We start from the raw sequence: 27,876 nt of genomic DNA on the forward strand, positions 1-27,876 counted from the left end.
AAGGGGAGCAGTCCAAAAGTAAATGGAAGATGAGAAGAAAAGCCTTTGAGGACCTAAGAGAGCCAGTTCTAGAGGACCTAGGATTTGGACCTCATTTGAGATTGGATGATGCATAGTAAAGAAAGGCATTGCAAATGAGGAGGAAGCATGGTGAGTTTGGAGTCTGTGTGGAGCATCAGTTTGTATGGAAGACATAGCCAGTGAAGACACTGACTGGAGCAGATTTATGTGGAAGCAGGACTTTTCTGTCTTGTTCTCCTTGGTACCTTCAGTGTCCATCCAAATGCTTGGCATACAGTAAGCACTGAATAAATGCTGATTTAATGAATGACTATTAGAAAGGCAGAGCAAACTATTTTGGTTAGTGAGGAAAGAAAAAGAACATTTATCTTAGGAATGCAAGTCGTTTTAATTATTAGGCCCCAGAGAGACATTTAAATGAGACTGCAGTCATGCCCTGCTACCTGCTTTGAGTTATGTATTCATCTCTTGAAACTGCTTGCTCTTGCCACAAGTACCTACAAATTAACCTAATAATGCCACATTGCACACTGTAACCCATACCCTATAGTTTAGCAATGTATAACCAATCACTAATCAATGTTTTTGTATAAGCCAGTGAGAATTCCTGACAAACAACTTTGTATCAGTCCACTCCCTGTCCCCCTTTTTTGCCTTTAAAAATCCACTTGTAATTGCCGCTAAGTGGAGGGTATATTCAGGGCAACTTAAATCTGTGCTCCTGGGTTGCAGTCTTCAAGTTTGGCCCAAATGAGCTCTCTACTTGTATTCATTTTTGTCTCCGTTTCTTCCTTTTGGTCAACATTAGCTAGGGTAGATTAAAATAGGTGCAGAAAAGTTCAAACATGATGGAATACGGTGCAGCTATAAAATTTTGAGATAGCAGATTGACATGAGCAAATTGTATTAGGAAGATTAGTCTGAGAGTAACATAAAGGCAGGATGAATTCAAGCTTAGAGTGTTGGAATTCTCAGAAATGAATAATAAGCTAGAATGTTTTGGAAATAATATTGGTGTGAGGCAAAGAAGATGTGAAGTTGGAAATAGAAGACAGACAAATCTAAGAGATACATGTTGAATCATTGAGCACCTATCATGTTATATGACTAAATGTTTTTTTAATTTATTATAATTTAGAATTAGAGAGTCTTTGAGATTGTAACATAATAGGCATCCAGGCACGGATGCTCATGCCTGTAATCCCACCACTTTGGGAAGTGGAGGTGGGTGGATCACCTGAGGTCAGGAGTTCGAGACCAGCCTGGCCAATGTGGTGAGACCCTGTCTCTACTAAAAATACAAAAATTAGCCAGGCATGGTTGCGGGCGCCTGTAATCTCAGCTACTTGGGGGGCTGAGGCAGGAGAGTCACTTGAACCCAGGAGGCAGAGATCACAGTGAGCCAAGACCATGCCATTGCACTCTAGCCTGGGCAACAAGATGAAACTCCATCTCAAAAAAAAAAAAAGACTTTATGAGACCTTGGATTTTAAAAGCCTCAAATTAGGCCTTATACTTTTTGGGTACTCAATAGGTGTCAGTGGACAAATACAGAAGAAGGTAAATGATGTAGAAGTTTAATTTCCACCTTGGAGAGTTGGGTAATGATTTATCTTTTGTGAAAAGTGTGAAATCAAGAATCTGTGTTTCTGGTTGTCAGGGACATAAGAAAATTTAATGTATTTCCAAGATGACTGCAGTACATGCAGGTAGTCTTAGGATATGCCTGTTGATCATGACTGCAGATAGAGACTGGCTCATCTGGGAGAGTGGATGTGGCTCTGAATAGGGGGTGGGGGTTGAGGGGGGCAGTTCTTATATTTGGTTGGTTTTATTTTTTTTTTTTCATAAAGAGAACAGCATTAAAATCTCAGGAAGCTCAATTAAGGGTCAGAAGAATGAACAAGTGCTAAAACAAAGGGGGAAAAACAGAATCATAAAACAACTAAAATAGAGATTTAAACAGAGCTTTAATTTTTCCAATTATAATAATGCATTTATAATAACACATCAATAAATGAAATTATGTAACACTAGAAAGTATAAAGGAAAAGGGAAGAAAATTACTCTATAAATCTACCACCAAGAGATAATCACTGTTAATCTTTTAGTATCTATTCTTCCACACTTTTCTGTATATGTATGTATAAACATGTATGATGTTTATATGTGTATATATGCATTTTTTTAGTAGGATCATTCCATAAATTCTGTTTCCTAGTCTGATTGTTTTAGGCTTAATCGCATATATCTTCGTACATTTAACTATACATTCAAAAATGATAGTCATCATTTTTGGTGACTATTTAATGTTCCCTGAATTCTTAGCTCTTCTTTTCCATCTTGCACATGGGACACCTTCTTACTTTTTCTCTCCAGGGACTTCTCTTCATGGAAGAAATTTGCCTTATAAAACACAATCTGGATTGATGTATCTTTTCTTACCAAGTTATCTGTGCTGTTGGTTCTGCCTGTTACTTCCATCCTGTTGATTCTTTTGTGTGCTCGCTAGCCTGTACTGTTAACTCCAAATTCTACATGTCTAGACTTGACTTCACATTCTTTTCTCACTCATGGGTAATACTAGTTGTGGTCCAAAAACTGTCATCCTAACATTGACAGACCAGAGGTTCAACTGTTCTGAGCTGTTTGAGTCCTTCTAGCTAAAGCCTTGGAATCTCCACAGTTTTCTGTCTAAAGCAATTTTATGTTGCCAGGATGGGCTGAGGCAGGAGGGCACTTCATTACTGATCTTTTCCCTTTTGTGTTTTAACCAATAAATACATAGGTCCAATGAACAAAATAAGTAATAAAATATTGGCTTTAATACTCAAAATTAGGGGTTCCCTCTTAAACTGTTAGTAGATGTGACTTTGTACTGTGTTAAATGAGCCATTTGATCCCTTTCATGCCTCGGGGATTGGAAGAGAGAGGTCTGCTTAGTAGATACTTAAACCAGATAGCTGTGTAAGAATAGCTTTGCAAACTTAGTTGATAGTAGAAAGCAGGAGAGAGTCCTGAAAAAGAGGTACCTGGATGATGTGTTCAAGCACAGGTGGTCAAAGAGAAGGAAATAGGAGACAGAGTTGAGTATTGCGGGAAGTCAGGGACCCCAAATGGAGGGACCGGCTGAAGCCATGGCAGAAGAACGTAGATTGTGAAGATTTCATGGACATTTATTAGTTCCCCAAATTAATACTTTTGTAATTTCTTATGCCTGTCTTTACTGCAATCTCTAAACATAAATTGTAAAGATTTCATGGACACTTATCACTTCCCCAGTCAATACCCTTGTGATTTCCTATGCCTGTCTTTACTTTAATCTCTCAATCCTGTCAACTGAGGAGGATGTATATCGCCTCAGGACCCTGTAATAATTTCATTAACTGCACAAATTGTACAGCATGTGTGTTTGAGCAATATGAAATGTGGGCTCCTTAAAAAAAGAACAGGATAACAGCAATTGTTCAGGGAATAAGAGAGATAACCTTAAACTCTGACCGCCGGTGAGCCGGGCGGAACAGAGCCATATTTCTCTTCTTTCAAAAGCAAATGGGAGAAATATCGCTGAATTCTTTTTCTCAGCATGGAACATCCCTGAGAAAGAGAATGTGCACCTGGGGGTAGGTCTCTAACCTGGCCCCCCGGGCGTTTAGTCTCAACTCTTATGGTCGAGACTGCAGAGATGAAATAGACTCCAGTCTCCCATAGCGCTCCCAGGCTTATTAGGAAGAGGAAATTCCCGCCTAATAAATTTTGGTCAGACGGGTTGATCTCAAAACCCTGTCTCCTGATAAGATGTTATCAATGACAGTGGTGCCCGGAACTTCATTAGCAATTTTAATTTAGCCTCGGTCCTGTGGTCCTGTGATCTCGCCCTGCCTCCACTTGCCTTGTGATATTCTATTACCTTGTAAAGTACTTGATGTCTGTGACCCACACCTATTCGCACACTCCCTCCCTTTTTGAAACTCCCTAATAAAAACTTGCTGGTTTTTGCAGTTTGTGGGGCATCACAGAACCTACCGACATGTGATGTCTCCCCCGGATGCCCGGCTTTAAAATTTCTCTCTTTTGTACTCTGTCCCTTTATTTCTCAAGCTGGCCAACGCTTCAGGAAAATAGAAAAGAACCTACATGAATATCGGGGCAGGTTCCCCGATAGTTGAGAGTAGTGTTTTCAGGCACCCTGCCCTGATAATGTTTTATTTTTTAACCTCTGCTCCTCTTGTGGGGAGAGGTGAACAAAGAGATAGAAAAGCTTCCTCCCCAACCCTCCCAAGTGGTGGAAGTCTTGCTAAGAATGTTGGTGTGAGTTGCAAAATGAGTGTCCCTCTCACCAATAAACATTAATTTTTATCCAAATCATTTTGCATCTTCTACCAGTCTCCCTTCTTCAAGTCGGCTGTCAGCACATCATTCCCAAGTTTTAAAACCTAGTGCCTCCTGTTTTCTTTTTCAACAAATATCAACTTTTATGCCTACTTTTCTAGCTTATAATTTCCACCCACCTTTATTTCTCACTAACCTTCATATTCCTCAGGTCCTTTTTCTTTGCATTTCTTGTTTCTTCCTCTCTTCCAATCATATAAATCCTGCCTAGCCTTCAAAAACCAACTTGAGGAAGAATCCACACTTGGAACTTCCCTCTACTTGTCAGACCCAGAGTGAATTTTTCTCTTCTCAGTTTGCTGCATGTTTATGTGCTAAATTTAATGATTTTTAACTCTAATCCCAGAGATGCCTAAGATCCAAGGAGCCTCATTGGGGATGAAGGACAGTTGGCACAGATGGCACACTGAAGACTCCCTGTACCCTCTTTAACCAAAAAGTTTCTGCTCGTACAGATTTTATATAATGGGATTTTATGTGAGATAATTTGGAGAGAGTTCCATAACTTAAAAAAGTGTTTGAGAAATGTTGCTCTCTAATAATAATACCAACTCATGTGTTACTCAGTCAAATGAAATACTGTTACTTGCATTTTTGTTTTATATGTATATGTTTTGTCTCATAAATTACACTGGAAGCTCCTTGAAATTAGTTATCTTTCTTTTCCCCAATGGGGAAGGATTCTAGATAGAATCAACAAACCTAGAATCTGGGGACCTGCAATATTCTTTACTAGTGATACCCTTGGACCTGAGACTAAATATTTGATAGCTCCCTTCTTCTGTGTCCTTATCTGAAAAGTAGTAATGAGGTATTAAATTCTTCAGATGAAAGAGTGATTAGGCCTTTGTATTGAAGTGCAGTGCCAAGCAAAGGGGATGTATTCTGTTGATTGATTCATTTTTAAATTTCATTTTATAGATCTATGAAATTCATACTGAGATTTTAAGTGACACAAGCACTGCCTCTCTCAGTAATATCTCTCATTTTTAAAGACAGCTTATAAGAGAGTGTGGTACATAACACAAAGGAATGGATTGATAAAGATATGATATCATGCATTAGCAGCAAGTAAGGAGGATAGATTTTTCAGGAATGCCACTTCAATTATCAGTTTTTTGTGAGACTCACCCAGTCTTGTGACATAACTTCTCAATCCCATTTATGCCTTTTGGCCTAACTTTTTTACACTGATGCACAATATGTGAACTGGTACATTTTACTGAACTACATGTATAGCAAAGCCCCATTATTTATGTTTTTCTTACTACATTATTTAAGAAGTATACAGTTAATGAAAGTTCCATTGATTTGCTTATTTCCTTTGGATTACAACTACATTTGAGATGCAAGAGGGTAGCTTATTGCAATTAAGAAGTAGAAAAACAAGGCTGCTGAGTGGAATACTGAACTGAGAATAAAGTGCCTTTGTCACCATAGAGCCCCGTTGTTCTTTAAGCATTTTGTTAAAAGAGTGAATGAATGGAGCAGGATAGCACAATATTTTTTCTGTGTGCGGTACAAGGGTAGAGCTGTGGTTTTCTTGAGTCACTGAGACAGAAAGAAGAAAAACTTAAAAAGAAACAAAACTCTTTTCTGGCTAAAAGGTACTTTATACATATATACCCGTGATGTCGCTAGGATAAAAATAACTTTGCCCAATTCCTGAAAAGGAATTCTACTGGGTAGAATCAACAAACCTGGAATCTGGGGGCATACAATATAATTTACCAGTGATATCCTTGGGCCTGAAACTAAACATCTGATAGCTCCCTGCTTCTGTTTCCTTATCTGAAAAGTAGTAATGAAGTACCCTCATCAGATGAAAGTGATTAGACCTTTATATTGAAGTGCGGTGACAACATATGGTGAAATCCTGACCATGAGATCCAGTAAAAGAAACAAAAGATACTCAGCATTTCAGGCTTTGTATAGTCAGTGAGTAAATAAACAAAGAAACAAACCAAAGAGTATTCCCTAAGAACCTAGATGTAGTGTCTTAGGAACTGGGCCACCTACTGAGGATAGAACGATGAATAAACCAAGGCTTTTGTCCTTGAGAAAGTCACAGAGAGGAAGCAGGCCTATAAACAGGCAAATCACAATATGGTTTGATAAGTAGTGTCTGTGAATGGATTTGATAAGCAGGTATGTTTAACAAGGAATGCGCAGGGAAAAGGTAAATAGGATTTTGACATCTTCAAAGAGGAGGTTGTAATGGAAAAGGCTTCAAAAGGGAGTTATTTTGAAGACTGTATTGCTAGGCATTCAACATCAAATATCGGGTGTGGTAAATCTTGGTCCTCTGTTGTCTAAATATAATAATTTAAGAATTTTCCTGTTAGATTTTCTTCTAAAATCAAAGAACTGAAATTTGAAATGGGAAATTTGGAGAAACTTCCATGGAGATGGCATTTTCATTTGCTAACGTTGAGTCTAAAATTCTAATATAAGTATCGTTACAAACCATAAGCAAACTGATGCATACAACCACGTGTCACTAAAAGCAATTTCTAACGATACTTGCTACCCAACCTGTTGAAATCTACCTCTCATGTTATTTTTCTCTCTCTCTGACTCTTCTTAATTTCATTATTTGAAAAACTGAGAGCAGGCCATTCACCTACCTTTCTCCATTCCTCATCTCCTGAACTATATTTTTTTACCTACTTGAGCCCTCTGTCCCCCATATCCAGTTGGGCAAATAGCTCATCCTTCCCATGTAGCCCCCAGCCTCAGGGCCATCATGCCTTATTGTACATAATAAAATCCTGCAATGTTATTTCTGCCACTTTTCCTTCTCATCCTTTCAAAAAGATGTTTTTGTTTTCTTCCCTGAATTGCAAGGAGATTATGCATCTTCTAAAGATGGAGAGATCTATATATGATCATCTCTTATTATTAAATGATAATTTGTACCTTAATTTACAGAAATACCAGAAACTGTACAATGTGACTTTGCTTTATTTTCTCAGAAATGCTAAAGTTCTTTTATCATCATTATTATTATTCATCAGTTCTCCTCTTTTCATTCACTTGTGTACTGATGACTTCTTTCTAGTTTGTCCCCATAGCAACACTGGATAATGCTAATGAAACTGCAACATCTTAAGCTCTCCCACAGAGCATCTCTGTTAAAATAGCCATGAAACACTATTTTCTTTCCTTAAAAGAAATCAGTATTTTGGAATCTCTCTCATGATCAAGACTTAACTTTCTAAACTGTCTAACTAGCATTGAATCTTTAATTTAGAGAAGCTTTTCAGAAAGCAATAAACCACATTTGAGACACCATCTTCTTCCCCACATTCATATCACATGTTGGTATACAGCCATGGTTCTCAAAATATGGTTCCCCAGCAGCATCAGCATCACCTGGGAACTTGTTAGTGTTGCTAATTTACATGCCATACTCCAAACCTACTGAATCAGCAACTCTGGGAATGGAGCCCAATACTCTGTTTAAACGAGTCCTCCAGGTGATTCAAATGTGTGATACAATTCAGGAACCACTGGTGTACAGGATAGGCAGTGCTGTAGTAGGCAACAACATCACATCCAGTTTGTGTGTGTGTCTGGGGTTGTGTTGACATGATTGGAAATTAATGTTCTGTTTGTTTTTTATGGCCTCTAAGTTTATTTATGCTATGAAATATTAGCTGAATAACAATTTGTGTTAAAATAAATATGGCATTACACAATGTCAGATTAGCTAATGAAAAGAAGTGTTTCCTAATCCTTATTTATCTGTTATTAACAAGTGTAAGAAAAAGCCAAGTTAAGATCAGGTGTGGTGGCTCATGGCTGTAATCACAGCACTTTGGGAGGCCAAAGCGGGAAGATTGCTTGAGCCCAGGATTTTAAGACCAGCCTTGGCAACATAGTGAGAACTCGCCTGTAGAAAAAATGTTTAAAAATTAGCCGGGCGTGGTGGCATGGGCTTGTAGTCCCAGCTACTCTGAAGGCTGAGGTGGGAGGATTGCTTGAGCCCAGGGGAGTTCAAGGCTTCAGTGAGCTGAGATCGCGCCACTGTACTCCAGCCTGGGTGACAGAGCCAGATCCTGTCTCAAAGAAACAAAACAAACAAACAAACAAAAAAAACAAGTGATTGCCATTTACTCTATAGTAGTAGGTAATGACTTCAACTATAAAAGTGTGTGGTTTTTTTCTATTTTTGTTTCTTAAATGGAAAGCTAATATATTTCAATTGTGTGGATGCTGACAAATATTCACCTTTTTGAAAGAAGTCTTTTAAATAGTGCTTTTTCTGTTTGTGGTTAATACTTCATTCTTTTTATGCTTAAACACATCAAAAGCATACAGTAAAAAAAGTGATTTTTTTTGGAAACTATGACTTAGCAAAAAATAGGAAGCAGATATAATAGAGAATTGCAAAAAGGACACAAGTTAACTTTATCACATAAAGTTTTAAGAGGCAGGTAGGATCCAGAAGTTGAAGATCCAGGCAGAAATTTAAGTCTCTGAGACAGTATTAAAGTTAAGTATTAAAAATTGCTGTTCACCACAAAAGCTGAACCACCTCTATGCTAGGATGTGGTAACAGAGCCTAAAGAAGTTGCATTGTTGGTGGTCTGGCCAGACCTGAAATCCCACATGTCAGGCTATAATATAAAGAGCTAAACAGGATTCAGAAATCAAGATAAGCAAGAATCCTTTGATCAGGAATCCAGATGTCAGTTAGTCCAAGGAATCAGTAACAATACAGTAATTCCTGCTACCCACTGAAGCCTGATATAATAAGCACCTGGCATGTGCCCCTTCCTCTTGAGGATCACTGCCCAAATTCAGACCCTCACTGTATCTCACCTGGGCTGTTGCAATTGCTTCCTTATTGGAGTCAAATCACTGAATACTAATAACATTCAGTTTTGTGAATATGCAGTCTCTGCCTTCCTTCCGTATGCGCCTTGAAGTGCCCTGCTTTTCCACACTGGACTTGCTCCTTTTATGTATTTGTACTTGCCCCTATGTCTTGGTTCAAATAATTGACTTGTTACACTTTGGCAGATTAGATGCTCTCCTCACCCTGGATTTTCTCTCGACCTTGCACATACCTTTATTTAAAACAAATGCCATGTATTATCATTGCTTGTGTTGCTACCCATTCTTTGAGACTAGAATCTATGTCTTCATCTCTCTAGTCCTCTCTCCTAGCTTGGTGCTTAGCATACCATAGGTTTTCAATAAATAATTTTTGAATGATTGAATAAGAGATTTCTACATATAATAGGCATGGCACACGTAAATCATGGATTTTCCTAAATAATTTTGATTTGAAATATTTAGTCCTTTTCTTTCAGCTATCAGTAATTTTGAAATTCAGCTATTTGTGTCCCAAATTTATCTCCTGAATGTCTTATACATAGAAATAAGAAAAATCCCTTGAAGTTACCACCTACCAGGGACCTAGCAAGAGGAAGACTATACTCTTGAGGAAGGGTATGTTAGCCATTTAAGAACATCTCCAGGGAAGTCCATTAATTAACTTCTTTGGAGTTTTTTTTTTTTTTTTTTTTTTTTTTGAGAAAGAGTCTCACTCTGTCACCCAGACTAGAGTGCAGTGGCACCATCTTGGCTCACTTTTGCTCTCTAAGTGGCTCACCTCCACCTCCCAGGTTCAAGTGATTCTCTTGCCTCAACCTAGCGAGTAGCTGGGATTACAGATGTGCACCACCATGCTTGGCTAATGTTTTTATTTTTAGTAGAGATGGGGTTTCACCATGTTGGCCAGGCTGGTCTCAAACTCCTGACCTCAGGTGATATACCCACCTCAGCCTCCCAAAGTGCTGGGATTACAGGCGTAAACCAGTGTGCTGGCCACATTAATACAGTTTAAAGCTGGGGAATGGGATAGAATGTTTTTGTGCATGCTTGAGAGGTTTAGTACCATAATTTTTGTTCAGAATTGTTAGAAATAGACCATATAGAAAATCTGTTCTTTTCTTTCTTCTCTTTGCATTTTCATACCCGTCCAAAATTCAAAACACTGGGGAAAAGTGGCTAGAACTGGGAAATACAAAACAGTTCTATGTTTGTTCCATGGGAAATGGATTATAATGACCTTTAATTTATTTGGAAACATCTCAGAAAATATAAAGTTTTGTATAAGGAGTTTACCAGAGTTCTGAAGATTATTATGCTAAGTAGTTATTTTTCAATGGGATTACACACTTCACTGACTACAAACATTGTGTATTGATGACCATCAACATAATCAATACAATATTACTTGCTGACGCCACACCGGATATTTCTAAATTGCTGTATATTTTTGGTTTTTGTTTCCATAGTTATTCTTGCTTCTCCTTGCCTTGTGACAATTAAACAAATATTTACCCAGCATTTACTTTGTGCAGGACACTGTGCTAGGTGGTAGAACCAGAAGAATAAGCAAAACAAACAGGCTTCCTGCCTTCATCAAACTTAAAAACTGGCAGGAAAAATAGACTTTAGCAGTATTTCAACTTCTCTCCCTATCTTAATGGGTGCTAGAGAGAACTGGGTATAAAATGAATGTTTATAGCAGAAGTCAGGTCATGAACTCAGAGCCTGCAAGGGACCTGCCAGGTAACAGAAATGAGGGAAGTGGAATAGAAAATAAGATTAGATAATGTCTAAAAACAACAGGTATTAGACTTCATTAGTAGATTTTAGGTATTAGTAATACCTGTTGTTATTAGACTTTATTTAATCGTGACCACTTTAAATTTACTACTACCTTCAGCTTGATGTTAGAGTAATAGGGAGTGGTAAGGGTCATGGCAAACAATAACATACCTTCTCTAAGGAAGCAGCCATTTAGATCCGATTATTGAAAAGTGGAAAATCACTCCCAATGTTATCACAATTTTCAAATTTTTAATTTTTAATTTATATTATTTTATTTTACTTTATTTAATTTTTTTAGAGTCAGGGTCTTGCTCTGTTGCCCAGGCTGGGGTGCAGTGGCCCATTCGTAACTCACAGCAACCCCGAACTCCTAGGCTCAAGTGATCATCCAGCCTTAGCCTTCCAAGTAGGTAGGACTGCAGGACACACCACCAGGCCTGGCTAACATTTTTTTTCTTTGTAGAGACAGGATCTTGCTATGTTACCCAGGCTGGCAAATTTTTTTAAGCCAGAATATGAAATCATTTTTTTATGTCTACTCTATTCATTTTAATGATGGTAACTAATTGAAATTAAAATATTTTGCTTAGCAAATAAAATATATCAGTGAGGTAAATTTGGCGTGAGAGTTGCCAGTTTGTAGGTCCTGAGAGAGTGAGCCTTCTGCAAGGTAAGTGCATGAATTTTAGCATCTAATTTGAATACATTTTAGCATCTAATATGAATATACAGAAGCCTTTTTTTTTGCTTTCTTCCTAGTTAGGATTACTAGATTAAGCAAATGATAATAAGGGATGATGTCAAATTATATTTGAATTTCAAATAAACACTTCTTTTTTTTTTAGTACATACCTTGTATATGTCTTAACTACTGCACAGAATATACTTGTACTATGCAAAGCCATACAGTATTTGGACGTACTTACGCCAAAAAAAAAAGTATTCTTTGGTTATTTAAAATTCAAATTTAATTGGGCATGCTGTATTCTATCTGGCACCCCTGTTCCTAGCACTGTGCTACTATTATGAAACTAAGTTCTCCAAATAAGCGGCCTATGGCTAAATGAAATGTTTTAATCATTTTTCCTATGTGTTGATGTTAATTTTAAGTAATTAAAAATTTACTTTTTTATTGGGTGATTGCTGTTTGTCAAGATGGGCAAGCCTGCAAATAGGAAGTTTAAAATAATCTTATCTATGGGGAAAATTTCTTATTTAGCATTTATATATAAACTTCTAAATTGTTCTTAACATGCTTTATTATTTTGGCACCAAAAGAATTCTTTCTGTGGTTCCAATGAACATTTTTGTCTACATATTTACCCTCGTGCTACCATTTGCCTTTGTGACATTAAAAAAAAACAAAACATATCTTCATAAATGTCCCCCTTTCCATGTTAGCAAATTGATTTTCATTTTAATCTTTGAAAAGCTAAATTATTAATACTTTGCTTCAAATAGTATTCTCCCTGATACCCATGTCACTTTGCAATTGTTTTTGTACTTTTTGAAGTTCTCTTTTCTTCCCTTACTGATATTAACCATCTGTATTAATGAGGTAATAAACCAGGCTTGTTGCTAATGAATTGATTCATTCAGTGCTGGATTTAATTAGAAAGATATTTAACATGCCAGCAGATGTTCTGATTTTGTTTCATTACCCCCAAATATAATAAAATAAAATACAATAAATTTTTATATTTTTGCATAAATTAAACAGAGTCAAGATGTATTACTCTGTTGTATATTGTAAAAGCCTAACTGATGGAGATTTTGTTACTAGTATATTCCAAATATTAGAAGGAAAGTCAGTTTTCTCTTTAAAACACTCACCTAACTAATTAGCATAAGAGTAAAATCTAGGAATAAAAATTACGTAGTAGTAGAGTGCCACGACCCCCAAATCTATAGAAAAGAACCTAAGCCGCAGATACTTCCCGAAGATTTCTTTTTATTACTTTAATAGAGGATGCCTTTTCTAAATTAACCACTAAACAGGTTACTTAAGAGCGCTTAATTTCAGAGACACGTCCAGTGACTTTGTTTTATTAACTCTTTGCTTTTCGTAGTTTTGTTTGCAGTGTCCAAAAGACTTATTTAAAAAGAAAGAAAGAAAGAAAGAAAAAGGCAGCTTTAGGAGAGATTTTTAATGTTCAAGGCTTTATGAGAGAAATTAGGATGAAAAGTTATAAATGTGTTAATGCATGCACAAAAGTAACAGCTCATACAAACTGAGTAGTCCTTATTTTGGACTTTCAGCCTCTAGCATGCTCTTTCTAGAAAGGAATAAAAGGATTTTGTGCAGTGTCCCAGGTACCATATCAACAGATACGTGAATTAAGCAATCACTGACATACAAATACATTAGGAGAGAAAAACTGTTATAAGATTTAACAAGTAGATAAGTTCATCTATCAGGTAAACATCCTGAGATATAAGTATAAAAGCTACAGGCAGCACAGTGGCTCACGCCTGTAATCTCAGCACTTTTAGAGGTCAACGCGGGTGAATTGCTTGAGTCCAGGAGTTGGAGACCAGCCTGGGCAACATGGCAAAACCCCGTCTCTACTAAAAATACAAAAATTATCCGGCATGGTGGTGTGCGCCTGTGGTCCTAGCTACTCAGGAGGCTGAGATGGGAGAATCTCCTGAGCCCAGGAAGTTGAGGCTGCAGTGAGCCGTGATCACACCACTGCACTCCACCCTAGTGATAGGAGTGAGACCCTGTCTCAAAAAACTGCTTCTACAGCACCAAAAAGATTAAAAGGAGGAAGAAGACAAAAGTAATTCCTTTACCCTCTCCAGTTTAGCTTTCATTGCTTTGTTTGGTAGTTCCTTTTGTTTAAAAATATGTCACATATTATTTACAAATGAGTATCATATTATAAATATGGTTTTCTATATTTTTTCATTTAGCAATATGTTCTGAGTATTTTCCCATACTACTCAATCTCTCAAAACACATTTTAATGACTTGCTTAATTTCTATAATTCATTTAAGTATTGTTGGGTATTGAGTCATTTCTAATTTTTTCCTAGCGTTATGTAACATCAACGTATATTCTTGAATAAACCCCTCAGTCTTGCTCTTATAGGGTGTTATTTCTAGGAAGCGATAAGCCTTAGTTACCAGTTAAACTTTAATTTTCAAATTCCATTTCAGAGTGTAAGGAACATATTAATTTCCTAAAACTAGGGCAAAATGGGAATGAAATCAGGAGTGGGAGGTGGGCTAGGCGGAGAGCACAGGTGATAGAAATAGTTGGGCCTACTCTAGTGTCTCTGCTACCTTTTCTGACTTTCAAGATGAATAAAGCATTGAGTGATTGTGTTTTTCATCTGAGGTTCACTTCTTACAAATTTATGATATTTTTCTTTTAGTCTTAACAGTTCTTCCAAGATTTGATAGATTTGTTAATGTCATTCAAAGCCAATCACAGAAATGTGTGTGAGAAAGAAAGATCAGAACTCACAACAATAGGTTACCCAACCCTTAATTAGTTTCTATTAGATCTTGCTTCAGTGGTTCTGTTTATGGGTTTGCTCAGACAGCTTGGGAAGATCCCAGCCACCATAAAAACTTCAGCCGTTGGTCAGTTCATAAACTCTATAGATCTCTATCATTCTCTGCGTTAGATTCTTTTAATTCTTTACTTGGCTTCCCTTGTACTATAGGTTATCTGGTGTCATCAGCTTCAACCAGGTGCATAAGTGATGGAAATGAAGTTTCAGTAGTAAAGTACATACTTGAAGACTGTCCCTCCTTTTACCTTTTCTAAAGTCCATTTTACCTAACATACAACAATTTGGTTTTCAGCTTATTTATTTCAGAAATAAATTTGCTACATCCCATAAATGCAATGGATGGCATTTCATATGCCTAGCTCTATCTACTTTCTGATTATGTTTTTGTTTTTCAGATTAAGAAAACTGATTATTTTATTTTAGCCTATATCGACAATCATTTCTTGCTTTTTCTGTGAGGAAAGAATGATAACTCTGGAATTGATGATGGAAAAAATACTCCTTTTTTGGTGTTAACTTCTCCCCTAATTTATTTTCTTGCTTCTTCCCTAAATACTACCACACCACATAACATTTCACCCCAAATTCTTAAATTTTTTAACCTTTATGATCCATTTAGGAGTGTATCTGTTTTTATGAATTTATTCATAATCTTGTCTCCATTAAAAGACACCATTGCTCATTTGCTTAATCCTCTTGAATATCAAAGCCTCTAGTCAAAGCTCTTGTGTCATTCAGCTCACTTTCACTTGAATATTCTATAATAGAAAACTTTTTTAAAGCAAGGTGACCTGAACTACCATTTGTTCCAAATAAAGTTCATTATTGGTTTTTAAGTAACATCTTTTGACTTATACCAAGGCACTAAACATTTCAGAATGGTTTAGTTTTTAAAGCACTTTGCCAAAGGTTTAGAGTATTATCTTCTATTAAACATTGATTCTTCTGTTCAGTGTCTTGTAGCATATGAGTACCTAGGGTGTACTCATTTTCTATAGAAATTGGTGTTCCCTAACTCACTATTTTCTATTTCTCTACAATGAGTTCTTTTCACTACTCTCAGCCAGCCTGCATGTAATAGCTCTCCTCCTTCCTACAATCTGCCCTTCTAGTTTCGCAGCCTCAATAGATTTCGTCTTTCTTCATGCCCTATCTTCCAAATTACTGAGACATTTAAAAAAGCAATACAAAAAAAAAAAAAAAAAAGATCATTGAGCCACGTGTGTAGACTGCTTGCCCAGATTAATGGATCTTAAAATGGCCAAGCTGCTAGCTAGGAATTTTCAGCTTTATATTAAATCTCAGCATGCAAGCCAAAAAGAGAGCACTGTATGGGATATTGTCATTACAAAGAGAACTTGGTACTTTAAGTTCCTATAGCAAACAGTATTTTTAGATTCAATTTTTATAGGGATTGTCTGTTTGCCATAGTTATTTATTTATGAAAAAAGTACACGGTTTACATGATTTATTTTCTGTATTGATATATTAAAGGCTAATAAGTTAAATATATAAATAAAGGTAATTTATGACAAAAAGTTTGTTCTGTAGCATTGCCCTCAGAATATTTTATAAACAATATAGAGGGCTACATATTTTTAAGAAAAATATTTTGTCTTGATAGTATAAAAATGTGCCATTTTTCCTATTTAGAAACTCTTCAAAGCTTAGCATTTAAGAAGTTATATTTTATATTTGTTCCAATTAGAAATATGGATACTTTTGGTTATAAAAGTTGATATATAATACTGCCTAACTTCATAGGGACTTAGACACTCACAGTGTCCATAAAAAAATAATAAAAATAGTACAGAGCAGTAATAAAATATATATTGTATTTCATTAACAACATTCCTGCTGTCAAGAGGAGGAGGGAAAAACCAGGGTTTCTCCATCGTAATCCAAATGTTAAGATATTTGCTCAGGGAGTGTATTATGAGCTATAATGAGCTTGGGCTCTGGAGTCAGACTTTATGGATGCCAGTCCTCTCCATTTCTTACTGGCAGTGTAACCCTTGTATAACCTTTTTGTCAAGGAAGGGCCTCTACTCAATATGTGAAACAGAAAGCTGGATTTACTGTTGTTGGACAGTGGAGATACGTACTTGTAAGGCACAGTCTTTCTGAATAAAGCAGACTGCTGATCTTATTGAGGGTTTTGAGACTAGTAGAGGTTAGGGACTGGCCAACTGTCAGAAGCAGGAGGGTGTATGGGGATTGGGTCCCATTAGCTATGGCAGTATAGTCATTAAATGAGGCTGTTGCCAATGATTCAGAAATGTGGTAATGGAATTGAGTTCTCACTGACCCATTGGGATGAGTTTAAAACTGTTTATGATTCTTACTACTTAACAATAATAAAACTGCCTTCCTCATAGGACATTTCTGATAATTAAATCAGAGACTACATGTAAAATTCCTAGCATGATGCCTAATAGAAACAGGCCTTCTTCTTTATCAGTCTGACCTTAAAGAGAGTAAAGCCCTTCAACTATGAAAGCCCCAGCTTTTGTAGCTTCAGATCATCACACTGGGCAGTGTGGCCTCTCAAATTTGTCTCACTCCTCAGTGTTATACAGTACATGCTGTTCATTTGCATTTGTGTGTGTAGTTAATACATGGCTCTGCAATGTCAGCATTTTCTGCAGTATTTGTCTCAGTTGTAAGTAGATATCATTTGCTTTCCATGCCAGTGGGCTTTTTGTGGGTTTGGTTTTGTTAAGCTTTTATGAGCATCACATATCTCTGTGAGAACCTGTTGAAAGCTGTGAACACTATCCCCTGAGAAATGTGCATATAAATATACACATTTTTGTGTACAGTTTATTGGGTTCTCAGGCTTCATGAAAGTTCAGGCCCTGCTCTTCAGAGCTACCTCTGTTCAAAAGGATAAATTCTCTGTCAGAATCTTCACCTCTGGAAACACAGATTTCAGTTGTAAAACATTGAAAAATATAAACAAAAACAGCGCCTTAGAAAACAAAATGTATCTTGGCATTTCAAAGCAAAGGTTGACATTGACTAGATAGGAGGCTTCCAGCTCCTGCCAGCCACAATGACCTTTTCTAAGCAAAAGTGTAGGCCAGGGCAATGGGTTTTGAATATTACTGTGCATAAGCCAATGGATTATGTACACTAATATTCATTAGCTTATGTATACTAATATTCAAAACCCGTTGCCCTGGCCTACACTTTTGCCTAGAATGCAACTCCTAAATGCTAATGCCCAAACTTTCTTTAGCCACAACATAATATATAAGTAAACCACATTAAAATGTCCATATTCTTTGACCTAGAAATTCTACTTCTAATAATTTGTCTCAAGAAAATTATCATTTAAAAATGGCAAAAAATTAGGTACAGGTGTTTTCACTGCAACTTTATTTATGGTAACAAGAAATGTATGCAACCTAAGCATCTAACCTGAAGAATCGGTTAAACAAATTGTGTTATGTTTCAATGTTAGAATACTGTGGTTCTTGCAAGTAATTTTATAGAAGGATATTCCATGGTGTGGAAAGTTATTTGTAGCTATTAAATGGAGAAAAAAAAAGTATCAAGAAAGTATTTTTTGAAATTTTAATAAAAATATATGTTGAAATATACAAGTATACCTCAGAGATATTAAGGGTTTGGTTTCAGGTCACCACAATAAAGACAATATTCACAATAAAGCGAGTCACATGGATTTTTTTGGTTTCCTAGTACATGTAAAAGTTATATTTACACATATTAAGTGTGCAATAATGGTATTATGTCAAAAAATAATGTACATACCTTAATTAAAAGATACTTAATTGGTAAAAAATGCTTACGCTCATCTGAGCCTTCAGTGAGTTGTCATCTTTTTGCTGGTGCAGGGTCTTGCCTCAATGTTTGTCTGCTGACTGGTAAGGGTAGTGGTTGCTGAAGGTTGGGGTGGCTGTGGCAATTTCTTAACAAAAGACAACAATGAAGTTTGTGGCATTTATTGACTTCTCCCTTCATCAAAACTTTCTCCATATAAGTTGTTTTGCTTTTTTATCATTTGTGCGTTCAGTGGAGTAGCACTTTCAGCCCCCTTCAACAATTTTTCCTTTGCATTCCCAACTTGGCTGGTTAGCACAAAAGGCCTAGCTTTCAATCTGTCTTGGCTTTCCACTTGCCTTTCCACTAACCTTAATCATTTCTAGCTTTTGATTTAAAGTGACAGACTTGAGACTCTTCACTTGAACACTTAAAGGCCATTGTAGGATTATTCATTGCCCTAATTTGAATATCATTGTGTCTCAGGGAATTGGGAGGAGAAAGGGGAGAATGGCAGGTCAGTGGAGCAGTAAGAACACACACGTTTATCTTAAAGTTCACCATCTTATATGGGCGCAATTTGTTAGCTCCCCAAAACGATTACATAACAATTAGTAACATCAAGTATCACTGATCACAGATCGCCATATCAGATATAATAATACGAAAAACTTTGAAATGTTGCCAAAATTACCAAAATTTGACAGAGAGATACAAAGTGAGCACGTGCTGTTGGGGAAAAATGGCACCAATAGACTTGCTCTGTACAGGGTTGCCACAAACCTTCAATTTGTAAAAAGCACAATAAAGTGAAGTATGCCTGTATATGAAGAAAAATCATCATAATGTTAATGGTGGTTATTTCTGAATGGTGAGATTATGGGTATTTTTTCTTTTCACTTTGCTTGAAAGTTTTACAGTGAACTATGTGTTCAGTTTTTTTATTCAGAAAATTGTTTCAAAACACTATAAGGGTTAGTCAAAATAATTTAGTGAGAGTTTTAATCAAAGTATTACATTGGTCACCCAAGAAGTAAAGAAGATCACTGAGAGCTGTTCCTTTACATTTTGAATGAGAGGAGATGGTAAAAGACCCAGTAGTGGGTTCCTCTCTGTAGAAAAGAAGGGTCAGTATTTGGAGAGGGAAGGGTCCAGAAAGAAGCTACTAGAGGCAGATACTTTGTTGGCTCTGCTGTGCTTTTAAATGATAAGGACAAATAGAAGCTGTGAGTAGTATTTTCATCTTACTGCAGAAAGAGGGAAATGATTCCTATGAATAACATTGTTACATTTACTTTTTAATTCTTTTTTTTTTTGACGGAGTCTCACTCACTCTGTCACCCAGGCTGGAGTGTAGTGGCGCTATCTGGGCTCACTGCAACCTCCCATCTCCTGGGTTCAAGGGATTCTGCTGCCTCAGCCTCCTTAGTAGCTAGGATTACAGGCACTGGCCACCACACCCAGCTGATTTTTGTATTTTTATTAGAGACAGGGTTTCGCCATGTTGGCCTGGCTGGTCTCAAACTCCTGGCCTCAAGCAATCCATCCTCCTCAGCCTGTCAAACTGCTGGGATTACAGGCAAGAGTCACAGTGCCCAGCCTACTTTTTAATTCTTAAGATTGCTATATAGTTACTGTCTGGCCATCAGGTTACTAACATTGGTCCAGGGTTGTCACTAAATATAAATTCAAATATCAAAAAATGAAGACTTTTTTTTTTGACAGCGGGGTAAGAGCTGCAGTAGCTTCTGAGATTTCAGATAAGATACTGAAAGACCTCACCAGCATATCGTAACAACCAAACTGACTTTTGAAAATAATTATAAAATTTAGGTATGTGGAGCACAGAAAATCCTACGGAAACCTTTGAAGTTTTATTGTACTACTAAAAGAATTGCTTCACCAAAAACTTGTAATATCAGCAGTGTTGTGGTTTTTTTCGGTTTCGAAATATCCCTGGGCTATTTATAGTTCTGGGTCTTCTCTTAGAGAATTATCAGTGTCACATAAATGTTAAATTTTAAATAAATCATTCCTGAAGTTCATAAATAAAACCTGAATGCATCAAAAAATACATACTTATATTCCAATAACTGTAGGAATCATCTCTTTGATATTCATAAACTTTCTGTTCTTTATTCCTTTTTGAGTAAGAGTTTGTTCATTCCAGTGGTTTTCACAGGAAGGTAGGTGGGGGGTGGTAATAATGCTTCCCAAAGTATTATAACAATATTCTCTACCTAATTGTGAATCACTGGTTTAGAACGCAGCAGAAATGGCAGCTTGCAGTGAGATTCAGAGCAAAGCATCTTTCAGCTCTGAAAGACTCTGACCACTGCTATAGCCTCTTAATGTATTCTTATGTATATTGGATATGTTAAATAGAATTATTGTTCCCTTAGCTTATTTTATACAACTGAAATAACTTATTTTACATTTCTGTATTTTATTTAGTGGCTATCATATATGATCAATAATCATTGTTCAGTGGACTGCTGGGATTTGGTAAAGCTAGTATCTTTTGATGCTGATCTCATCTTTATCAGTTTCAGCAATCAAACATTTTCCTGATATGTTTTAACTTTAGTTATCTTACTGAAAATTATCACGTTCTATTTGAAAGGTATTATTTCTTAAATGCTTTAGGCTGTATAGAATCAGAATTGAGAATGAGAAAAGATTGGAGAATAAAGTGGGAATACAGAAAGGACAATGCACAACCCTTTAATAATTGCTAGCATGTGATTAGCTTTTGCTGCCTTTTTTTCTCTCTTTCTCTTGCCTACTTCTAAACATCCCCTTCATTTTCTTCTCTTTTCCATTTTATCTATTCCTTTTTCACTGTTAGGGGATATTGGCTGACTAGGAAAATAGTAGAAGGTTTGAGGCTTCGGACCTGAGAGTCATGGAGGGAAAGAAAGTTTTCCCTAGTATTGATATTTCCTTTTTCCAGAAAGGAGATGTCAGCCCACTGAACTTTCAAAATAGCAGGGGTGGCAGCTTGCCCCAGCCAAGACCTTCACCAAGATTTCCCTGGATGCTCCCACAGACGAGTGAAATTCTCAAGCATCAGGAACTAACCCTTTTCTTTTATAGGGACAGATATGCATTTTTGTTAACTCTGACCCAGTTAAGACCCATTCATATCAATCTGAATGATTTTGTGTGCCTATTCTAGAAAGTCAAAGGTACCTCATGACAATTTGCCATGAAAGTGAATTTAATTTTCCTATAAATCAAATCCATCAGGAAAATACCTCTTAGTAAGTCACAGCTTTTCAACTAGTGTCCAGAGAAAGTGACCATGTATGAAAGTACAAAAATGGAAAGGAAGCAGAGTTGACCTTCAGGAAAGAAAAGCTCATTTTAGATTTAGGGGGAAAGTATACCATATGCCTGCATGCACACACACGCACACACAAACACACACACACACACAAAACACAGCTTAGTGACTGAGTATTTTGAATCAGTTTTTGAACTGGAAAGCTGTAGGGCTTAATTTTTTTTTTTTTAATTTGTTTAATTTGAATAGGACTTACCATGAGGTAAAGAACAGTTTTTCTCAGGAGCTTGGAATTCCTAATTAGTATTATCTATATCTTCCTTGAGGACTTACAATGTGTTGCTTTTTGTCTTTTTCTGTTTGCATATGAGATCATTTGGTAAACACTAGATCATTAGCCCACATAGGATCATTTGGTAAACACTAGAAATTTGGAGTGATTTTATAACACAAGAAGTACAAAAAAAGTGTATAGATTATTGTTCCTGAAACTTTTTTGCATATTTAAAATTAAAAGCACAAAGTAGAAAATATTTTAGAATCATGATAACTACCTACCTTCAGATCAGAGTAAAATGTACCAAAACCATGGTGTATTTTAATGCATATAATTGTTCCTTGGCTTGCTTATTTTGATTTACTCTCAATTTTTTTAAGATTACTGATTATCTGTTTTATGTGGTTTGTATAAACATCTGGTTTGGTTTCATTGATTGCCACTTAATAACTTTAGATAAACAGTCAGTTGGGCATTTTGTTTTAATCTAGATTTTTGAGGAGTTTCTTCACTTTTAAGATTCTACATCTCTACACCATGCAGTCAACCCACAGAAGTGTAAGCTAAACAACTACTTACTGTCTTAAGCTTCTGTGTGTTGGGACAGTTTGTTATCTGGCATTAATATGATAATACCTGACTGATACACCTTGATTTGTCAGTATTCAAATATAATTGCCTCTTGTTAGTCATTAGTATAGAACCATATGGACAATGAATGACAAGACCTTGAATTTGTTCATGATCTTATTCCTAGGATGCGTTATCAAATTAAATTTTAAAATACAATGGATTTTTTTTGTTTTTTTTTTGTTTGTTTTACAATTTGCTGTAAATAAAAGACTCTACATCTCTTTGATATCAGTGTCTTTTTTCCATGAATGAATACCCCAAATCATAAGATGGGGAATCTTGAGTGGTACTATGTTACCTTTCTCCATTTAATATGTTTATCTCACTGTATGGCATTTATGTGTCTGGATTTTGGGGGGAATAAATTATTCTAGGACAATTAGTTGTAAAGCATGTTTTGGTAAACCAAACACTATTTTATTATTGTTTTGCAGGAAAAAAACACTGGAACTGTATCAGGGAGGTACAAAGCCTCATTGTTAACATGGTTGTTAACTTGAGGTAGAAACAGTTAAGATAGCCAGTCATTTATCACAGTGGACATTGGCATATGCAAGAAGACTTGTAGCACTTCACTAAAGAGGATGCCTTGGTAGAAAAAAAGGTTTTGGGTCATAGCTTTCTTATCTCTAAAGTGGGTTTTTGATTCTAGGTCCTTTCTAGCTGTAAGCCATGATATACTGTACCAGAAGCACTTTTTCAATATGTGGGATGCCTTTGTTCCCTAATCCCACCTTCTTTATCAAGGGTTTATCAAAATCTAGAAGCTGAGCTGTATTATCAGACTTTGCCAGTAGATACCTTTGTCTGTCCCAGTGTATTATTCTTCCCTAAAAATACTTTGTTATATTCAGGTACTTCTACTCTAATACCATATTTGTGTTGCTGAAAAACTTTGCATTCCACAAAATCACACAATAAGAATAATAGAGATCATATGGGGGAAGAGGGCTAGGGACAGATCGTTCAAAACCAATGGAACTTTGTAACCAGAGCAATCCTAATAAAAAGAATAACATGGTTAAGTCTCCACTGGATTCGCATCCAGAATCAGTCCAGTTAAGTAATCCCCATAAAAAAAGCGTAATATGGTTAATTCTTCACTGGATTTGCACCCACAATCGTAGTCCAGTTGATTCTTTGCATCCTTGAATTCTAGGATTCATGCTTCCTTCTTCAAAATGTAGGTCCTTGGGGGCACTTACATCAAATTGAGGTCAGTTTCATCAAAATTAAATATCTAACCCTGGGTATAGACCTCTGTCAGTCAGGTGTTTTTAAAACCCAGGAAGAAATGCCTTTGAGGGATCTTCATCCTCATTCTTGGCTTTCTTGAAAATGTCCCTATTTGCTATAAGGAAGGACTTAGAATTTTCAGGAGTTGTGTTAAAGATCTGTATGTATTGCTGAGGCTTGCTTTTAATAATGAGAAAGCTCGGCCCTGATTGATTCAAACCACTGTTGTGCTGGCAAAAATACATATGAACCAATACAACTTATATTGTATTCTGACATTATTCTTTAATTTATCAAATATATATGAGCAGACTCAAAGGAACATATATTAATAAAGACTGTAGTCTAATTATGTTTCATAAATAATCATTTCTTTTTTTATCAGGTATCTACAAAATATAATATCTATCACAAAATATTTCTTCTTCCAAAACCTATAGAAAAGGTAATATGTTTTCCTAAAAACAGAAACCATTTTTTAACTCTTACTCTACATAGTGTCTATCTTCTTATACTAACTTATAAAGTTATAAAATTGATCATATCAAGTTTTCATTAGAACAGTGGTTTGTGCTTTCACATAAAGCATATCTCTGTCTAAGCAGCTGGGAGTAGCAAAAAATAAAATAAAAATAAAAATAAAATAAAATACAAAACATATCCCAGCCATACATTAGAATCTCTGTGTAAAAAAATCAGCATATTTTCAAAGCTCCCAAGTTGATTCATACATACTGTTAGGATTGAGAATTGTTGCCTGAAAGTAAAAATAATGGTATTCATTAGGATGTCATTTTCAGTAAAGTTCCATTTAGACATTCCATTGAAGCTAGTGCTAATCAGATTAACTGCTGGCAGAATTCATTGTTAATTGTTATGAGTAATTTGCAACATGTACCATTTATGTAAACTAGACAACCTATTCTTTCAGAGATACGAGATTTCTATCACCTTTTGGATTTATTTTTGTTATGTAAAACAGGAAATTTAATACCGTATCCAAAATGCTAGGAATAAAATCTGTTGTGTCTTGTTTTATTGTCCAGCATCATTTTATTCCCTCATCCTTCCTCTTTGAAGTCAAGTGATCTTTCTGATGTGGTCACATATTTGTAGAGGATTCTGTTACATCATGGAGATGGGATTTATGATACTTAATGTCACTGAGAACATAGAGTAATTGTCAGTAGACAAATAAATTGGAGAATTATATTTTTTAAGTGTCCTGAACATGACTGAATCTCAGGTGTTTTGCAGGAGCTTTAAAAGACTGCTTATAACTACATTTTTTAAAAGCAGCCCAAATCCTGATGGGTCCAAGTAACTTGAAGAAAAAGGATTTATTAAATACTTCAAAGTAAGGCCAAACCACCTGCCTTAGCAGGCAGGCATGTAACTGGAAATGGAGGACATGAATCTAGTGATTTAGTATCTTACTTGCTAGATATGGGCTATCTTAAAATTATACTTGGTTCTTTTTTTCTCCTCTGATGCTTCTGACATTCTTTTTTTTTTAATTTTAAGAAAGTTTTTATGGGTACATACTAGGTGTAGGTATTTATGGGATAAATGAGATATTTGGATACACACATACAGTGCATAATAATCACATCAGGATAAATGGAATATCCATTACCTCAAGAATTTATCCTTTATTTGTCTTACAAACATTCTAATTTTACTTTTAGTGATTTTTAAATGTACAGTACATTGTTACACAGTATCATCACTTTGTTGTACTGTGAAATACTAGCTCTTATTTAATCTAACTATAATTATACCCATTGACCATACTCCCTTCCCCCTACCCCCTACTAGCCAGCCTCTAGTAACTATCCTATTTTCTATCTCCATGAGCTCAATTGTTTTAATTTTTAGCTCCCACAAATAAGGGAGAACATGCAAAGTTTGTCATTTTGTTCCCGGCTGATTTCACTTAACATAATAACCTCCAGTTCCATCCACATTGTTGCAGATGACAAGATCTCATTCTTTTTTATGGCAGAATAGTACTCTACTGTGTATACCACATTTTCTTTATTCCTTCATTGACAGACACTTACGTTGCTTCCAAATTTTAACTATTTTGAACAGTGCTGCAACAAACAGCAGATATCTCTTCAATATACTGATTTCCTTTATTTGGGGTATATACTTAGCAGTGGGATTGCTGGATCACATAGTAGTTCTATTTTTAGTTGTTTTTGTTTGTTTGTTTCTTTGTTTATTTTTTCGAGACAGAGTCTTCCTCTGTCGCCCAGGCTGGAGTGCAATGGCACAATCTTGGCTCACTTCAGCCTCTGCCTCCCAGATTCAAACGATTCTCCTCCCTCAGCCTCCTGAGTAGCTGGGATTATAGGCACACACCATCATGCCTGGCTAATTTTTGTATTTTTAGTAGTGACGGGGTTTCACCATGTTGGCCAGGCTGGTCTCAAACTCCTGACCTCAAGTGATCCGCCCACCTCGGACTTCCAAAGTGCTGGGATAACAGGCGTGAGCCACTGTACCCGGCCTTATTTTTAGTATTTTGAGAAACCATCATACTGTTCTCCATAGTGACTATACTAATTTGTGTTCCCACCAACAGTATATGAGGATTCCCTTTTCTACACATTTTCACCAGGATTTGTTATTTTCTGTCTTTTGGGTAAAAGCCATTTTAACTGGGGTGAGATGATATTCATTGTAGTTTTGATTTGCATTTCTCTGATTATCAGTGATGTTGAGCAACTTTTCATATGCCTGTTTGCCAGGGGTGGCACAAGCACTTCCTTAGACACCGTGGCTGGTGTCTCACTGGGTCACATGCTCCCCACATCCGCTGGCTCTGAGCCTAGCACAGCACAGAGACTTGCCCAGTAATTGCAGTCCTTGTGGCTGAGTGCCTTTCAAATTTATTTGCGACCCAAGTGCACTTTAGCCCGTGGTTTGCTGGAACTCAGGTTGTGACCGCTGGCATGGGTGATTCCCCTCTGACTAGGGATGGTCTAAATGCTCTCTCCATGTGCACCTGCCGAGTTCTGCCTGGTGTTGCTTTCTGCTGTGACAGGGCAACACTGAGTTCCAATGCAAAGTCGCACAATCACTGCACTCTCCCTCCACCAAACATACAGATTCTCTCTCCAGGCCACATGGCCACTGCTGGGGGATGGGGGAAGGGTGACATGAGCAATTCAAGACTGTCTTTCCTACCTTCTTCAGTGCCTCTTTCAGGGATATGAAGTTAAAACCAGGTACTGTGACTGCTCACCTGATTTTTGGTTCTTATGAAGGTGCATTCTTTTGTGTGTGGATAGTTTTTCAATTTGGTGTTCCTGCCAGGAAGATTACCGGTCAAGGCTTCTATTCAACCATCTTGCTCCCTGACATTCTAAAGTTGTGTTAGGTGTGTCTGTGAACATAACCACCCTCTCTGGTGGAAAAGATGTAGATTCTTCTGCACTCCAACCTCGGCAACAGAGCGAGACTCCGTCTAAAAAAAAATGTGGTTATTTGAGGTTAAGGTAGCTCTATTTTTTTTCTTCAATTGCTTGCTCCTCAGTATCTAGCAGAGCCTTTTGCCTGAAAGTGAACTAGAAGGGAGAATTACTTTCTAGGGAAATAAGTTCATAAAACTGTGATGATCAAATGAGTATCAGCTAAGACTTGCCTAATTTAAGAAAGTTTCTATCTCATATACTAGAACTAAAAGACAATTTATTAGTTTTCATTTTCAAATCGAGTCTTGCTTTATAGCAATTATATATTAATATATAGTATGAGATATATATATATATATATCTTGTTAGAAAAGTTTGAGAAATTCACATGTTCAAAAATAAGAATTTAAATGAGTGGTTATATGGTACTTTCAAAAGTTTATTTTTTATTAATTTTCATTTTGCCTTTGTTTTTTGAGATAGGGTTTTGCTCTGTCACCCAGGCTGGCGTGAGGTGACACGATCACAGCTCACTGAAGCCTCAACCTCCCGGGCCCAAGCAATCCTCTCACCTCAGCCTCCCAAGTAGCTGGGACCACAAGTGTGTGCCACCATGCCCAGCTGATTTTTTATTTTTTGTAAAGACTGAGTCTTGCCATGTTACCCAA

General features: G+C 36.5%; 1 protein-coding gene across 3 annotated transcripts in view, besides 2 other annotated features; it reads left to right on the top strand.

Moving 5' to 3' along the window:
- Positions 1–27,876, top strand: part of ZNF277 (zinc finger protein 277) — a 137,240-nt gene that overhangs the window by 39,797 nt on the left and 69,567 nt on the right. The window lies entirely within an intron of this gene.
- Positions 6,104–6,685: an enhancer, noted in NCBI's record as "OCT4-NANOG hESC enhancer chr7:111892650-111893231 (GRCh37/hg19 assembly coordinates)". NCBI's record gives its function as "activates a minimal SCP1, AML or CMV promoter by ChIP-STARR-seq in primed H9 embryonic stem cells {active_cell/tissue: H9 hESC(primed)}" and the evidence as "EXISTENCE:reporter gene assay evidence [ECO:0000049][PMID:30033119]".
- Positions 18,498–19,102: an enhancer, noted in NCBI's record as "OCT4-NANOG hESC enhancer chr7:111905044-111905648 (GRCh37/hg19 assembly coordinates)". NCBI's record gives its function as "activates a minimal SCP1, AML or CMV promoter by ChIP-STARR-seq in naive H9 embryonic stem cells {active_cell/tissue: H9 hESC(naive)}" and the evidence as "EXISTENCE:reporter gene assay evidence [ECO:0000049][PMID:30033119]".

The sequence above is a fragment of the Homo sapiens genome, chromosome 7 (assembly GCF_000001405.40).
Source record: "Homo sapiens chromosome 7, GRCh38.p14 Primary Assembly".
In the NCBI taxonomy this organism is placed as follows: Eukaryota; Metazoa; Chordata; class Mammalia; order Primates; family Hominidae; genus Homo; species Homo sapiens.